At 37.5% G+C, this 17,806-nt stretch overlaps 1 long non-coding RNA gene across 1 annotated transcript in view, besides 1 other annotated feature; it reads right to left on the bottom strand.

Moving 5' to 3' along the window:
- Window positions 1–9,606, bottom strand: part of LINC02008 (long intergenic non-protein coding RNA 2008) — a 477,534-nt gene extending 467,928 nt beyond the window's left edge. The window contains exon 1 of the long non-coding RNA NR_147146.1: window positions 9,367–9,606. This is a non-coding gene — a long non-coding RNA (long intergenic non-protein coding RNA 2008). The remainder of the gene's footprint in view (window positions 1–9,366) is intronic.
- Window positions 9,496–9,790: an enhancer, noted in NCBI's record as "tiled region #4090; HepG2 Activating DNase unmatched - State 1:Tss, and K562 Activating DNase matched - State 4:PromP". NCBI's record gives its function as "activates a minimal TATA promoter and a strong SV40 promoter by Sharpr-MPRA in HepG2 and K562 cells {active_cell/tissue: HepG2 | K562}" and the evidence as "EXISTENCE:reporter gene assay evidence [ECO:0000049][PMID:27701403]".

The raw sequence follows: 17,806 nt of genomic DNA, 5'->3' as shown, positions 1-17,806 counted from the left end.
GTACCTTGCTAAACTAGAGGAGAGTGTGCTACCAGAGTGTTACTAGTTTCTCCAAAGAAATGTTATGAGGCTGGTTGTCAGAATGTGGAAGAATACAAGAAACCGGAACCAATAGCTACTTCAGGATTAAGAGTGACTGCTGAGACCAGGCTGGCAGGAGCAGTAGACACCTGGAAGAAGCAAGTGCCTTCTCACTCCAACTACCTTTTATCCTCCTCTAGTGGCCTCTATTGGCAGAAACTAACAGGGAAATGGCTGGCAAAGGAGAAATATAGTTTGCAGAGCCCCGAGCATCACAGAACTGCAATACAATATAGTTAATAATTATCACCACAGGGAATGTAAATTAGTACAGCCATTATGGAAAACATTATGGAGGTTCCTCAAAAAAGTAAAAATAGAACTACTATATGATCCAACCATCCCATTTCTGGGCATATATCCGAAGGAAATGAAATCAGTAACTGGAAAAGGTACCTGCACTCTCTTATTCATTGTAGCATTATTCAGAATAGCCACGATATGAAATCAATCTAAGCTTTCATCAACAGATGAATGGATAGAGAAAACGTGGTATATGGTAGTCCCTCTTAGCCAAGAGAGACATGTTTCAAGACCCCCAGTGAATGCCTGAACTCTTGGATAGTACTGAACAGCGACTAAGCGGGAAAACGTGAGATTTCATCACACTGCTCAGAAACAACATGCAGATTAAAACTCAAATTGTTTATTTCTGGAATTCTCCATTTAATATGTTTGGACTATGGTTGGTTGCAGGTAAGTGAAACCATGAAACCATAGAAAGCAAAATCATGGATGAGGGGTATACATGCAATGGAATTCTATTTAGGAAGGAAATTGTGCTCATTTATGACAACATGTATGAACCCAGAATACTTTAGGTGAGATAAGTCAGACACAGAAAGATAATTCATGATCTCACTTATATGCAGAATCTAAAAATGCTAAACTTACAAAAACAGAAAACAGAATGGCGGCACCCAGGACTGGGGTAAGGGAGAGTGAAATAAATAAGAAAATATAATAAATATGACTGCAAACTATATCCTTCAACCTGAGGGCCACAGAAAATGAGAAGTATTTATTAGAGGCTAATAGTGCTATAATTTCAGTTTGTAGTCTTAGAAAAAGATGACATAGTTGATGCCCTCTTTATATGTTCATGAAGCAAAAAAATAATAATTAAAGCTTTTCTCAGTCTAAGTTTACCTATAACATGAAATAAACTCAACTGTTTGTCTTAGTAAGGTAGGGGGTAAGATAGTGAGTGTATCCTGAGTTTAGTTAATTCAAAAGTTTCATCATTTCTAAAAGTATCAATTAGTTCTTTCACCATACCTTTTACCAGAGATGTTAATGAGAAGCAAAATGGATCGTTAATGGACTGAGAAATATTCAAATATATGGAGAAGTGAGAAAATAAAAACAATGTGAATAGCCTAGAACTGGATAATTGGCCTCTGAATAATTAATTCTATGAAAGTTATCTTCCCTAGGAATCCCTATTTTTACAGCAATACACTGAGATGACAATTAATTTACATAAGGGATGAAGCACAAAACAGATATAATTGCTACAATGATTGTTATAAGCCTAATGAAAAGATAAGAATTATTTCAGAAGCCCAGGAAAAGAAAAAGAACAGAAAAAAAGACTTAAGATGAATTATCCTTATTCCAATTCATTTATGTTTGTATTCATGTAAAAGGTGTTATCTTTGCTAACATGTCATGAGTTAGAACATAAATGCATACATACAAGTCACATTAAGAAAAAGGATGCAGACAAACCTAGATACAATTAAAGCGAAGATATTGGAAAGCACATTAAAATTGCCTGCCTTGGTTTGGGGTATCGTACGGTTATACATCTTGTGAATTGTGTATAATTGTTGCTCAGGGGCATTCACAAAATAGAGTTAGCTTTTGTTGCGCTTAGCTATTGTCACAAAATACTGCAAAACAAACAAACACGAACCTCAGGGAATGGAAACAAATGGACTGTTCTTATGAATTGGCAGGTTGGCTGTTTTAGTTAACAGAGGGCAGGCTCGCTGTTGAGGGCACTGGTGGCTCTGCTTCTCCCTGTAGATGCTGGGGCTCATCCACTTCACACTGCAGCTCACTGGGTCAGCTGGAATGATTCTCTTCTACATCTTCTATCCTTTTATCGGCTAGCTTATCAAGCCATTTTTTTTCTTAATGGCAATGGTGAGGTGCAAAAGTGAAAATGCATGAAGTATTTTTTCCAGTTTTATTGAGATATAATTGACAAATAAAAATTACATATGTTTAAGGTACAGGGCATTATATTTGTATATATATATACATTGTGAAACGGTTACCAATCTCAAGCTAATTAACATGTCCATCACCTCATATAGTTAATATGTTTTTTGTTTGGTGTGGTGAGAACATTTAAGATCTACTCTCAGAATATTTCAAGTACTCAGTTGTGCATTATTGACTAAGTCACCATGGTATACGTTAAATATCCAGAACTTATTCATCCTGTATAACTGAAACTTTGTACTCTTTGGCCAACATCTCTCCATTTCTCACACTCCTCAACCCCTGAAAACTACCATTTTACTCTCTGTCTTGATTAATTTGACTTTTTTAGATTCCACATACAAGTGAGATCATGTATTATCTGACTTTCTGTGCCCGGCTTATCTCACTTAACATGTCCTCTCACAAATAACAGGATTTCCTTCTTTTTTATAGCTGAATAATTTCCACTGTATACCACAATTTCTTTATCCATTTATCCATCAACGGACACTTTGATTGATTCCATATCTTTGCTATTGTGTATAACACTGCAAGGAACACACAAGTATCGACAGCATTTTTGAAATACTGAATTCATTTTCTCATATGTACCCATTAGTGAGATTGCTGTTTATATGGTAGTTATATTTTTAATTTTTTGAGGAAACTCTACACTGTTTTCCCTAATGGCTGTACCAATTTACCCTCCCACCAACAGTACACAAAAGTTCCTTCTTTTTTGACACACTCAAAAACACTCATCTTTTGTCTTTTTCATAATAGCAATCTCAACAGATGTGAGGTAACATATCATTGTGGTTTTAATTTGCATTTCCCTGATGATTAGTGATACTGGGCACCTTTTTAGATGTCCATTGGCAATTTTTGTGTTTTCTTTGGAGAAATGTCTACTCAGGTTCTTTACGTATTTCCTAAGTGAGTTACTTGCTTTTTTGCTTTTGAGTTCTTTGTATACTTTGGATTTTAACCCCTTATAAAGTATATTGGCTAATATTCCCTCTCATTCTGTAGGTTGCCTGTTCACTCTGTTGACTGGGTTTTTTGGTGTGTGTGTGTGTTTCTTTTTTGTTTCTAAGCAGAAGCTTTTCGTTTAAGGCAATCTCACTTGTCTATTTTTTATTTTGTTTCTTGTGCTTTTAGTGTCATATCCAAAAAAAAATTATTGCCCAGACCAATGCCAAAACCAATGTCCCTTATGCATTTCTCTATTAGTTTTAGTTTCAAGTCTTACCTTTAAGACTTTAATCCATTTTTAGTTGATTTTGTACATGGTGTGAGATAAGGCTCCAGTTTCATTCTTCTGCCTGTGGATGTCCAGTTTTCCCAACATGACTTATTGAAGAGACTATCCTTTCCCCATTGTGTTTTATTGGCACCTTTGTTAATGATCCATTGACTCTAAATGCTTCGATTTATTTCTGGGCTCTCTATTCTGTTCCATTAGTTTATATGTCTGCTTTTATGGCAATATCATACTGTTTTGATTACTATAGCACAGTAGCATATTTTGAAATTAGGTATTGTGATGTCTCAGCTTTATTCTTCTTGCTCAAGATTTCTTTGGCTATTCTGGGTCTCTTGTGGTTACATATGAATTTTAGAATTTTTTTTCTATTTCTGTGAAAAATTACATTAGAATTTTGATACAGATTTTATTGAATCTATAGACTGCCTTGGATAGTACAGACATTTTGACAATATTAAATCTTCTAATCCATGAATTAGAATATTTTTTTTGAGACAGTGTTTCTCTCCCATTATTGTAGGACTGTTCCTTAGGTCAGCTAAAGACAGGGTTTTTGTCCATCCCTTGGCCATGAAAATTTAGGCTCGCAGATGGTTTGAAGGGTCAGTAAAGCAGGGTTTTATCAGGTGAAAAGGAAGAAAAAAGGGAAACAGGGACTCTTGCTAGGCCAGAGTCCCTGATAGTGCTTCCTGCTGGCCATTCAAATCCCAGGTTCCACACAGGAAGAAGAGGGGCCAAGCTCCTACCCGCTGCAAATGTTGTGAACTTCCTGAGGCTCCACCCCAGTGGGCAGGCTGGTTTTCTGGGGACACCCTCCCACCTGGTTGTAGCATTCCCCCCGCTAAAGAGGTACATCTAACTGCCATTAGATTAAGGATGAGAACAAAAACCGATATTAACTGTTTCCTGCCGATGGTGTTGCTCTTTTGCAGAAATGGCAGTCGGAGCTCCCTCAGAGGCCTACCTAAGGGTTCCCAGCAGAAGGGGCCATTGTCAGAGGGTCCAGTTGCATGACTGAAGTTTGATGGCCTGAAGGCAAGAACCGACAAACCAGGTTATTAGAAAATAAACATCAAAATGAAACAAGGGGAGGGGTGCAGACAGCTAAGAATTTCCAAGGCCTTTTACCAGTTAGCACAGGGAGAGGAAGTCCAAAAGCCTGACTGGAAAAAAAAAAAAAAAAAAAAAAAAAAACAACTTTACCCTTTTGCCAGCATGTTGGGCTTCTGGGTTCCCTTTCCCTGAGCCCAATCCTAAGCTAATCAGTTTAAGGTTTGGGAAATTAACTCTTTCCAGTTTGGAGGATGCATCTGAGGGGTGTGTCCCGTGGTACAGAGACACAATTACCTATCAGTGAAGAGAGAACAGAGGAGGAGAGAGGAAAAAGAAGGTGCCTTTTCAAGGAGTCCCAAGGGTTCAGGATGCATTTGAAAGGGGTACAGACTGAAGATAAATGGCTACCCATCTAGAAAAAGGGGAGCAGGCATCGCTGGCTCCCTTCTCTTTCTAGCAAATACTCCTGGTAAGTGAGGAAAGAGAGAAGAGCATCCTCTTTCTGTCTTCCATCCTTGCATCCCTGAGCTCTGGCAACCTTGGCAGGTGCTGCCATGAATACCAAAGTGGCTTGCACCCAAGAAGCAAGGTGGCCTAGAGAATAGGAATTATCCATTCTAATCTATGTCTCTTTCTCACCTACTGTCAGTAGCCTTGGAGTTCCCTAGACCTCATTTATGACATCAATACTAATGTGGAACAGGACGCTTGGGCTTGGCTTAGTCAGCAGGAATCACCTGCACTGTGCCTTTTAACTGCCATTAACATCTGCCTCTGGATCCTACAGATCCAGTTTTCTCTCCTAGTGCTTTTGACTTGGAGCTTGGAATTGAATCTGGGACAAAAATGTGTATCAGGGGGCATTGCATGAACTCCTTATCATAAGCCGAATGCTAAGGTGAAACCGTGGAACTGAGTCCTCTTCCAACAAGGGAGAGGAAAGGATGTCTTGTGATATGCCCAGATAACTGGTGGCTACAGTTATGCTTGCTGGGATTTGGGTGCATGGTGCTTGGCTTTGGTTAGCTCCCTTGGTCTTACTTTCCCAAAAAGGAAACCTCTGGATGAGGAGCATCCTATTTATTCCCATCACATGGCAGGATTTGCAGGACAATTGCTCGGAACTGGAATATTCATACAGATTTTTACATTACTCATCACTTTTGTTCTTTCTGAGTTGCAGCCAGAGATTGCTGGCTGGTTCATAGGAACAAGCAGGATTAGTCTAAAATATAGGCAAACGCTTAAAAACAGCTAATAATTTAGAAATTACTAACAAATGTATAAGTTTTGAAACATAATTTCTCTCTCTCTAGCTCTCATTTTTGTCAAGAAAACAAATCATCATAGGACTCAGTTGTTTGCAAAATAGACTTTAGTTTTATACTTGGCCTGATTATTTGCATAAAGTGCAGTAAGAATAATTATTTTTACATAAGACCTTTGGATTGGCCTATGTAATTCGATGGAAGTTTATTCCACAAGGAATCTCAGATAAGACCTTTTAAGGCCAAATCCAGCCATGGGTTTATCCTCGAATACCTGTGAGTATTCTCCTTTTAAGGTCTCAAGATAAACTTGAAGCTCCTGGACCTGTTAGCAAGTGACATTCTTTACTGACCACAGGTCAGGAGCCCTGCACAGGGACTGCATTGGCAAGGGTATGAGACCAGTTCCCCCAGTGGGCTTTTATTGGCTCTGCAAGTCAAGACTGACTCCTTAAAAGGAATACCCTTCCAGTCAAAGCCTTGGTAAAATAACCACTTTCTCCAATAGTGTCCTGTTGCAAAAGAAAAATGGATTCTTATTGCACTGATGCAAACAACCATAATGCCGTAAGTTAAGAACACTCACAGTTTCCAAATTCTAGAGCAATCAGGCAGAGGGAAACAAACATTCTCCAAATTTTGATCCCAGGAGTATACCTTGCTTAAATATTAAAGGCCATAAACAGTTTAAGTTACATTGACTCTGAAAAACAAAACAAGGACCAGCAACATTCCAAGCAAAAGTTAAAAGGATTGCTTCAGCTTCCTGAGTTCAGTCCATTTAGTTAACATGTTTTGCTTGATATAAACATTTCAGCTCTTCATGGGTCCTATACATTTTTCTTTAATCCAATGTTAAAATATCTAAAGTTATTAGAAGGCTGATTGTCTCAAATATAATCAGAAATTGTATTTAAGAGGAACTGTCAGAGTCCTACAGCTTATTATAAACCATCTTTTGAAAATGTTTTAAAATAAGAAAACAATTGTCTATGAATACCAAAATCTCCAGGGTAGTTACAGTTAGAAACACAATTGACAAGTTTGGTTATCTCTCTGGTTTACAATAGCTTAATGTAAAAACCTTAATTATGATTGATAGCATATATTCAGACATTAGCATTATTCACCAAGATATAGCCTAAAGAAGATTGCGCATCATTTTGGCAGTCCCACGTACCTAAACATGTCAAATAATCCTCTTTACCTCTCTTTTCTGGACACTTCAGGGTACTTGAAACACTGGACACCTCTGAAGTACTTGAAAAGCCATGTGCCCAGGAAGACAATTTTGAAACTGAAGTTTGACTTGGGAAGGCTGTCTAATGTTCGAGGTTTAAAACAATTGATATTATGAAATAGAATTCCAGATTACCATAAGTTATTTATCTTGCCAAAATAAAGACTCAGAAATTTTAAAAAGGCAAAAACCTTTTACACCCCTTTAGAAATTCTGCCAAGGAGCAGATTAGCACCTTAGGAAAACCTTATTATGCTTTTATTTCAATGCTCGATTTACAGAAAAACCATATAATACCCTTTTTTGAATTTAGTCAATATGTTCACATAGAGAACCTCTTCCACAAGATTAATTTCTACAGTTCTTCCACCCCTTCTTTGAACCTTCAGCTTTTGCCTAATTTAAGTAAAACGATCCTTTAACCCTAGGTAAAAGTTTACATTTCCATGCCTTCTTATAACCACTTGCAAAAAAACACATTTTACTGTTCTTACACACCTTGCAGGTAAATCTATTTCTAGTAGTTTCAATGAACTAGCAATTTTTAACTTTAAGATAAAACTCGGTAAGTTGCTTTCACTGTGTGCTAAGTGTAGTCAAGGTTTGCCTTCTTAATTAAGGGCATGGTTAGTTTCCTATGTCCCCAGGCCTTACCAATTGTGAAGCCACCAAGTCAAACAGTTCTCAAAACCCAAAAAGCAGTTTGTAACTTCAAAACACTTAACAAACTTTGCATCTGACCTGCATAGTTTAATTCCCATATTTACATTATAATGACAGCTGCATTTTACCAATAATCTTTAAGGCTGCTTTTATTTCTCAAAGATTAAAGTCACATGAACTGAAAGGTACCACAGCTTTTAATTTCCCTTAAAAAAATACTTGGTCTAAGTGCTCGTCTGTCTTTTTTTTTTTTTTGAGACGGAGTCTCACACTGTTGCCCAGGTTGGAGTGCAGTGTGCAGTGGCATGATCTCGGCTCACTGCAACCTTCACCTCCCAGGTTCAAGCGATTCTCGTGCCTCAGCCTCCCGAGCAGCTGGGATTACAGGTGCCCGCCACCACACCCGGCTAATTTTTTTTTAGTAGTGACGGGGTTTCACCATGTTGGCCAGGCTAGTCTAGAACTCCTGGCCTCGTGATCCGCCCACCTGTCTTTCTTTAGGCAAATTAATTAGGACTATTTTCACAGACATCACACACAGTACACACATAGGCAGAAGAAAACCCAGTCGCTGGGTGGGGCCCGTTAAGAGACAGGGCTAGGAAAACACGCACCCATCAAACCAGAAAAAAACTTACCCCTCCGGGCAGGGTTGCTAAAGGAAGCCATGCCACAGGAGTTACAAGCCATGCCCTCAGGATTAAAAAAAAAAAAGATGGAAGCTTGATTTCAGCCAAAACTTTGCAGAGAATACCCACAGCGATATTTGGGGGTGTGGTGAGGGGGGGGGTGGCCTAGTAAAAAGTCTTCTAAAAGAAAAAAAAAAACTTTAAAAGCTAACTGCCCGCAGGGTGGAGAAAAGCAAAGAAAAGAAACAGTTAAAAATGCCTGTTTGGCCTGGCGCAGTGGCTTAGGCCTGTAATCCCAGCACTTTGGGAGGCCGAGCGGGTGGATCACAAGGTCAGAAGATCGAGACCATCTTGGCTTACACGGTGAAACCCCATCTCTACTAAAAATACAAAAAATTAGACGGGCGTGGTGGCGGGCGCCTGTAGTCCCAGCTACTCGGGAGGCTGAGGCAGGAGAATGGCGTGAACCCGGGAGGCGGAGCTTGCAGTGAGCCGAGATCGCGCCACTGCACTCCACCTGCGCGACAGAGCCAGACTCCGTCTCAAAAAAAAAAAAAAAAAAAAAAAAAAAAGCCTGTGAAAACCTCTTATTCTTATGCAAGTGGTTCCTTCACCGGGGAGAAAAGTTTAAGCTTCATTACTGTCCCATGGAGTAAAACCCTTTGGCTGGGGAAGGGGAAGGCTGCAGCAGCTTGTGGCTGGGAACCAGCCAGCCAACTAGCTGTGTGGGACCCCTGGGCCATGTGTCCCAGCCCTGGCAGGGAGAGGAGGGGAGGGGGAGCGAGGAGCCCCCACTTGCCTGCTCATTCTGAAAAAGGAAAGAAAGGGCCTTTCCCCAGGCCCCCCGGGAGCAATAGGGTTTGGGGGGCATGTTACCCCCACCCTCTGAACTCCAAGGATAAAAATGCTTAGGAGCAACAGTGAGAGGTTTTGAGTCCCCATTTCACTTACCACTTCTCGAGCCCCACGTTGTGCACCACAAATGTTGCAGGACTTTTCCTTAGTTTAGATAAAGACAGGATCCTTGTCTGTCCCATGGCCGTAAAAATTCAGGCTCACAGATGGTTTGAAGGGTGTGTAAAGCAGGGTTTTATTGAGTGAAAAGTAAGAAAAGGAGGAAACAGAGACTTTCACTAGGCCAGACTCCCTACTCGAGTACTTCCTGCCCGCCGTTCAAATCCCAGTTTCCACACAGGAAGAGGAGGGGCCAGGCTCTTCCCCGCTGCAAATGTCAGGAACTTCCCGAATCTCCACTCTAGGGGGCAGGCTAGTTGGAGGTTTTCCAGAGACCCTCTCCCACCGGACTGTCTCATCATCACCCAGGCTAGAGTTGAGTGGCGTGATCTTGGCTTTCTGCAGTCTCAACTTCTCAGGTTCAAGTGATTCTCTCAAGAATTCTTCGAATGGATATCTTTCCATTTATTTGTGATTTATTCCATTTTTTTCATCATTGGTTTATGCTTTTCAGTGTACAGATCTTTCACCTCCTTGACTAAATTTATTCCTAAGTATTTTATTGTTTATGATGCCATTGTAAATGGGATTAAAAATTTTTTTAGATAGTTCATTGTTTAGTGTATAAAAATGCATCCGATTTTTGTATGTTGATTTTATATCCTGCAACTTTATTGAATGTATTCATTAATTCTAACAGTTTCTTGGTGAAGTCTTTTAAGTTTTCTGCAAATAGGATCATGTCATCTGCAAATAGAGATAATTTTACTTCCTTTTTGAATTGTATGCCTTTTATTATGCCTTCTTGCCTAATTATTCTAGCTAGGACTTCAAGCGCTATATTGACTTGAGGGGAGGGTACTCTTATCTTGTTCGTGATTTTATATGAAAAGCTTTTAGCTTTTCATAGTGAAATATGATGTTAGCGATAGGTTTGTCCTAGAAGGCCTTTATTACATTGAAGTACTCTCTTTCTATACCTAATTTGGGCAGAGTTTTTATCATAAAAGAATGTTGAATTTTGTTAAGTGCTTTTTCAGCATGTATTGAGATGATCGTATGATCTCAATCATTCATTCCATCTTTTAAAAATACAACATCACTTTCGACAATGTGCTGTTGACTAAAGCAAGCCATATTCTAAGCCCCAACTCAAAGGGCAGAAAAAAACTTCTGCCCATGAAAAACCATAGTGAAAATGTGGTCACTGGGAGAGGTAAAGAATTGAAGCCAATTATTCAGTCTACAGCAAAATTCATCGCTATTTCAGAAAAAGAATTTATTGTATCCAGTATGCAGGGGAAGTCCTCATTCATTGAGTCATTTAATATGGCAGAATTTTACAGTGAGGGGTAACTAAAATGTTTTTCTCCTAAAGACTGAAATAAGACTTTAAGTAAAAAAATAATTGGCTGGGTACGGTGGCTCACACCTGTGATCCCAGCACTTTGGGAGGCTGAGGTGGGCAGATCACCTCAGTCAGGAGTTCGAGACCAGCCTGGCCAACATGGCGAAACCCCATCTCTACTGAAAATACAACATGGCAAAACCCCGTCTCTACTGAAAATACAAATATTAGCCGGGCATGGTGGCAGGCACCTGTAATCTCAGCTACTCAGGAGGCTGAGGCAGGAGAATCGCTTGAACCCAGGAGGCAGAGATTGTAGTGAGCCGAGTTCACACCATTGCACTTCAGCCTAGGTGACAAGAGCGAGACTCCATCTCAAAAAATAATAATCTGCAAATTGCTGTAATAGAAAAAAAATGCTCAATTTACGGCAAATCATCAGTGTCAAATGCTTGAATAAGAAAAATTATTTCTTGAATTGACAGAACATCAGTCCAAAAATGATGATTATAGCAAATGATGAGTAAATGCAAAGGCTACAGCTGCTCTACATTGGGCTTCTATGTTAATTAGGAAAAGACTTACTCTCTGGACAAAGACAAATGATATCAGGGCTCAGGATTTGACAAGTGGAGTGTGGACTGGATTTCAGTTCCCACCAACATGTTCTCAATCAAGTCTTATTGTTAGGGAAAATATAATCCTCATGGAAGAGAAGAAAGCAAAGAGTTACCTCCGGGTTCTTACTAATTTTGTTGATTTGCTTCATTATGTTGCTATATCTTACATATCATGATAATCAATGATTTTTCAAAAGGGTAGCCATTACTTTCTTCTTTCCTGCTTTTCTTCTACAAACATGTACTCAATTTCTACTATGTGTCAGGCATGTTCCAGAAACATCAGATATAGCAGGAACAAAATAGATAAAGTCCCTGCCCTCATATGGTTTATAGTGCAGCAGGAGAGACAGACAATAATCAGTAAATATAACAAATTAGTAAATTATAAAAAATGGCAGGGGATAGTAAGAGCTGTACACAAAAGAAAAGAAAAAAAGAACAGAAAAGAAAAAAGAAGGCTAGGTTGTAGGACAAATACCTTTAGAAACAATACGTTTTTGGTTGTGGTGGTAGGGATGGGGGGTGTGGTGGTTACATAGAAAACTTTGCTATTCTCATACATATTTAAGCACACTTTTCCCACTGAATTTCCATATATGACATTACGTAGGGAGAAATGAACCCTTCCTATATACTCCCACCTCAATTCTGATTGAGTGCATGAGACTATCCTTACTAGTACTCTGAGACCAAGCCTAAAAGAAAATTGGCTCAGAAGAAAAATCTGATAAAACATGAAATAAATTCATGCCTTTATATTTTTATAATCTAGGTTCACCTTTTTATGTAATAACAAATGTAACTAAAGCAAGTGAAAGGTCAGCAAAATTTTACAGGAGTTGGTTAAAATAAATGTATCTGTAATGTAATCCATGCTGTAGTTATACAGTGGATATAACATTTTTGCCAATTTAAAAATGTACTGTGTTGGGCCCATTCGGTTGAACTTAAGATAAATTTACTTATAACACTTTGTGCCATAGTGCTTAATAAATAGTTTAAAGTCTAGAAAACCTTTCCTTTCCCTCGGCTATGAATTAATCTATACAGCATTTAAAATGGTTGAATGTGCAAGTTGGGAAATGAGCACATTTGTTACAGTAACAACTTTCCAATGAATTATGTTCTTATGTTGCTCTTGGAAGTTGTTTATTTTAAAATAGTTCCCATCAGTGGTCCAGTTTTCTGCTTGAAAATGATTACTTTAGAAATAAAAAACCAAAACTAAAAAAACCAAAGCCTAAAATGCAGGTAATCGCTTAACCTTTGTGCTTGTGCCAAACCAGGAAAAACACATTGAAGAGGGGGAATCATAATCATCCCACTTCAACAGTTATTTCTTAGTTTTTTGAACTCTGCACTCTCTAAATTTTTTTTTAGCAGTTCAGAGGCACTCTCACATCCTACTTATGAAATATATAGTGTTATGTCCATGAAAAAAAAATTTAAACGATTTGGGATCTACATATTTTTAGAGCCATAGAATTATAATATTGCTATCCTTTCCCTTGATTTGGTACATTGCATAACATTGCATACAGTAAAAGAATTTTCCTCTCTTAATCCTCTTTGATTGCTGTAACTTGGTTGATAAATGAATTCTGAGAAGAGTAATACATATGTCTCACTTTAAATACCTTAGGTTGGCTTATGTGCAAATGCAAAGGCCAGCTTCCCATATGTAATTGAAATGGAATAAAATGGAATTGAATCTTTCTCTAGTGAGTTAAAACTTCACTTTGTGGGTTGAATTGTTGGCAACTTTCTAGGTTGCTGAGAAACATAGCAATAAAAAGTTTGGAGATGAGAAATTTTTGATAGAATATTCTTAATTTCAAATTTTAATCTCTATTTGTGCAGGCAATAAATACTCTGCTTGGCATCTAATGTAAATTCAAGAAATGTTAGTTGTATGACTTCCTATATATTACATACATAAACCTTTATAATTTTTATTATAATAAATGAGGACTAGAATTCCTGCTTGCATTTTACAAAATAAGGGTCAAAACATATTTTTTGAAAAAATCGAAATAGTAAGTATTTTAGGCTTGCAGCCCGTACAGTCTCCACCACAAGTAATCCACTCTGCTGTTGTAGCACAAAAGCAGTACATAAACACAACCAATACATAAATAAAAGGGGCGCTCTCTGCTTCTGAAGTTTTATATATGTAAACTGGTGGGAAGCAGGATTTAGCCAATAGGGTCTAGTTTACCCCAACCTAGACTACTTAAAATTGAACATGCAAGTTGAACTACAGAATGTCCACAAAATATGGAGTAAAACCAAGGAATTTTGCTCTATATATAATTCAAAATCTTAATCTATAAAGTTTCTGGACATTGCTATTTCTGACTCATTGAAAAAACAAAATATACAAATGTTACGTATTCCATAATACTTATATTTAACTATTGTATAGTGTTTAAAATAGCCTTAAATTTGTTAAAAGAAAGAATCTTGTATTTCATTGTCCCTATGATCCAAACATGTGAATACAATTAGGTGTGGAAATTTCCTGCTGACAACGGGGAAGTAACTCCACAACTGGAACTAATTTAAAGCTAAATCCCTGTCTCAATCTGTGACTGACTTATCATCTTTATTAAGGTATTAATGGTATTAATTGGTAAAAATGGTAAAGATATAAGCTTTATTTCGTCAAACTCTAAAAGGGGAGAATGCTGTCATGAAAACCTCCAGGGAAGAAAGGGAAAATTTTAAAAATATATATCAGTTAGAGCTCTCAGCTGAGAGGTCACATGTAATTTTGTTAGTGTGACCTTTCAGAGTACTTTGATGCCTCTGTCTTAAAGGCAAGTTGATGTCAGCAAGACCCTCCAATATATTAAAGCAAAAATATTCAGCCTAAATGTCTGAGAGAACAATATCACAAAATTGACATTGCTAATGAAAGCCTGCCAAATCAAATTTATTTAAAAAAGATTATAAAATGTTTTATAAGCGAAGGTCTTTCTACATGCTTAATAATATTTCTGCTAATGGCTTTCCTCTCCTAGAACTCCCCCTTTGTCATTTGATTTCTTTCATGTATCACTCATGCATTTTAGTTCTTCCTGGTTTCTCTCAGATGTTACTCAGTGAGTTAGAACCATTGGCAGGCAGCCATATACTACCTGTAAAGAAGAGTGGTAATTTTACTTAAGTTCTCTGTCTTAAAGATAGAATTGTCATCTCTGTGTTAGATGAGGTGGATTTGCAGAGCTTACCAGAGTAACTCTCTTAATGGATATGTTTATTTTCCATAACATGAATTGTGGTGACAACTAAATCAATGAACACAACCAATGACCACTTTTAATAATGCCATGCCCTAAATAGGTATCCTCTCTAGCTTACACATAACGAATCTTTGAATCACTAATTTATGACTCATCGATTCTACTTCCATGTTTTGTTGCCTCTAGTTAAAGCAGCGAGCCTCTTTTTACAGACGGAGAAAATGAAAAATAGATTTGCAAGAGCAAGGTACGCTTGGGAGTGCAAACCAAAGTCAGACCATGGAAGAATCTCTTTGATCTTAATTCCCTGAATCACATACAGGTGTCGGACCTTCTTAGACTCCACTGATATTAACGAGGTGAGACACGAGGTGACTTGTAGGACCAGACTCCTCTGTTCCAGTCTCTTTCCTACAGCAATACTTCACCCTGTCACAGTGCATAAAAAGCCCTCAGAGAACAATAGCACCAGCGTTCCTTGTGCTTTATGCACAACAGAGACAACTAGAAATGATTAGTTTATTTTGTAAATTTAATTTAGAAGGTTGGTACACTGTGTGCACATATCCTTTCCTGAAAGTCACAGTAAAGTATTATGTTTCTTTCAAGCCCAACTAAATATAGTTTATACTGAAATTCAGTTGAGAAGTGTAGATGCATAAGAATCAAATATGTTAGAGGGAATGCCCAAGTTTAGTTAATTTATGGGGGTAGTTTAGACTTGCCTCTGCAAGTCTAATTTACATGGGTGAATAAAAACTTATCCAGCTGCTAAAGTCTACCTTTAACCCTATTTTCCCCTGCTCACAAATAATATACCAGGATGTAAATAATACAATCGTGTGAACTATAGGCCAGGCATGGTGGCTCACTCCTGTGATCCCAGCACTTTGGGAGGGCGAGGCAGGTGGATCGCTTGAGGCATTAGGTTCAAGACCATCCTGGCCAACATGGCAAAACCCCGTCTCCTCTAAAAATACAAAAATTTGCTGGGTGTGATGGCACATGCCTGTAATCCCAACTACTTGGGAGGCTGAGGCACAAGAATCGCTTGAACCCAGGAGATGGAGGTTGCAGTGAGCTGCGATCGTGCCACTGTAGTCCAGCCTGGGCAACAGAGTGAGACTCTGTCTCAAAAAAAAAAAAAAAGTGTACTGTAATATAACAATATTGATAATTTAATATAATGTTATAATGTAATATAACATAATTAAGACCATTAGATTTGGAATTAAAAAACTGGATTTAAATCCCTATTTCATTCCTTAGAAGTTAATTATAAGCTTCAATTTCCACATTTGTAAAATGTGGATAAATGTACCTACCTCATAGAATTATTGTGGGGATTAGAGAAATTATTTATACAACTGCTAGTCCAGAGCCTTGTGCATATTAGGATTGATTTCTAAAAGCTCCTTGAATTAGGTCAGAAGGAAATACATTTATTTAAAAAAATCCCCAACTACTCATATGACCCAATCACATTGATATGTCAGCAATACCAAACATTTATTAGAAAATGAAAGAAGAGATATCTGTTCATTTTAAACAAAGCAAGCTATTTATCCACATCTCTCAAGGCTGTCAAAACCTCACTGTCATATTTTCACCTAAGACCTCATGAGAAAAGAAGAGAAATGAGGGGAGGATGAGGAAGGATAGTCACTATTGGGTCATTTGCTTTATATTACTTTTGATAACAATGTGTAGTATTAAAACATGACAATAGTTGACCCTTGAACAATACAGGTTTCAACTGCATGAGTCCATGTATATGCAAATTTTTTCAATATATTTATTGAAAAAAACTCGGAGATTTACAAAGATTTGAAAAAACTGAGAGAAACCATGTAGCCTAGGAATATTTTAAAGTTAAAAAAAAAGGTATGTCATGAATGCATAGACTATATGTAGTTACTAGTCTATTTTATCACTTAGTACAATAAAATATATACAAATACATTATGAAGTTAAAATTTATCAAAATTTACATGAAGACTTATAGACCATACAGTTGTTATTGAGAAAACTGTAAACAAATGTAAAGATGCAGTATAACATGGAACACTATGCAGCCATAAAAAGGAATGATATCATGTACTTTGCAGTAACCTGGCTGTGGCTGGAAGCCAGTATCCTAAGTGAATTAACACAGAAACTGAAAACCAAATACCACATGTTCTCACTTATAAATGGGAGCTAAACATTGGGTATTCATGGATATAAATGGCAGTAATGGACACTGAGGACTACTAGATGGGAAAGAAAGAGAAAAAAGTTGAAAAACTAACTATTGGGTACCATGCTCACTACCTGAGGAATGGAATTATTCATATTCCAAACCTCAGCATATGTAACAAAATTACACATGTAACCCCTGAATCTAAAAATAAAATTAAAATTTTTTTAAATGTGGTATTAAATGATACTGCATAAAGTTAACTGTAGTACATACTGTTCTATTATAACAACTTTGTAGCCTCCTCTGGTTGCTATTGTGATGAGCTTAAGTGTTAAGAGTATCTGCTTAAAACACTGTGATGCTAATCATCTCCACATGAGCAGATCCTTGTATTTTTCAGTAAATTATGTTATAGCAGTAAATGACAATCTTGCAGTTCTCACATATTTTTGTGGTGCTTAGTGCAATATTGTAAACCTTGAATAACTCCATGCTACCCATACAAAGTGACACTAGTGATGCTGGAAGTGCTTCTCAAAAGCATAGAAAAGTCATAACATTACAAGAAAAAGTTCAGTTTCTTGATATGTATGATAGATTGAGGTCTACAGTCACAGTTGCCTGCCATTTCAAGACAAATAAATAAAGCGTAAGGACCATTGTAAAAAAAAAAGAATATATATATATATATAAAGCTGTCACTGCAGTTATACCAGCAGGGATGAACCTTGCACTTACTGTGATATACATTTTTATCTTGCGTTGAAAATGCAGTTTTTATGTGAGTGCAGGATTGCTATAAGAAAGGCACACCTATCGACTCAAATATGATTCAAGAAAAATATGAAGTCATTATATGACAATTTAAAGCAAAAACGAGGTGAAGTATCTAAAGCTGGAGAATTTAATGCCAGCAAAGGATGGTTTTAGATAAAGGTTTGGCTTAAAAAAAAAAAAAGGTAACATGAGAAGCACTTCTCAAGATTCAGCAGACATTTTCAGACATCATTAAGAAAATCACTGAGGAGGAAGAATAATT

Source organism: Homo sapiens, chromosome 3 (genome assembly GCF_000001405.40).
Source record: "Homo sapiens chromosome 3, GRCh38.p14 Primary Assembly".
Lineage (NCBI taxonomy): Eukaryota > Metazoa > Chordata > Mammalia > Primates > Hominidae > Homo > Homo sapiens.
Note: the sequence above shows the minus strand (reverse complement) of the source record. Positions and strands in the feature narration are given on the sequence as shown.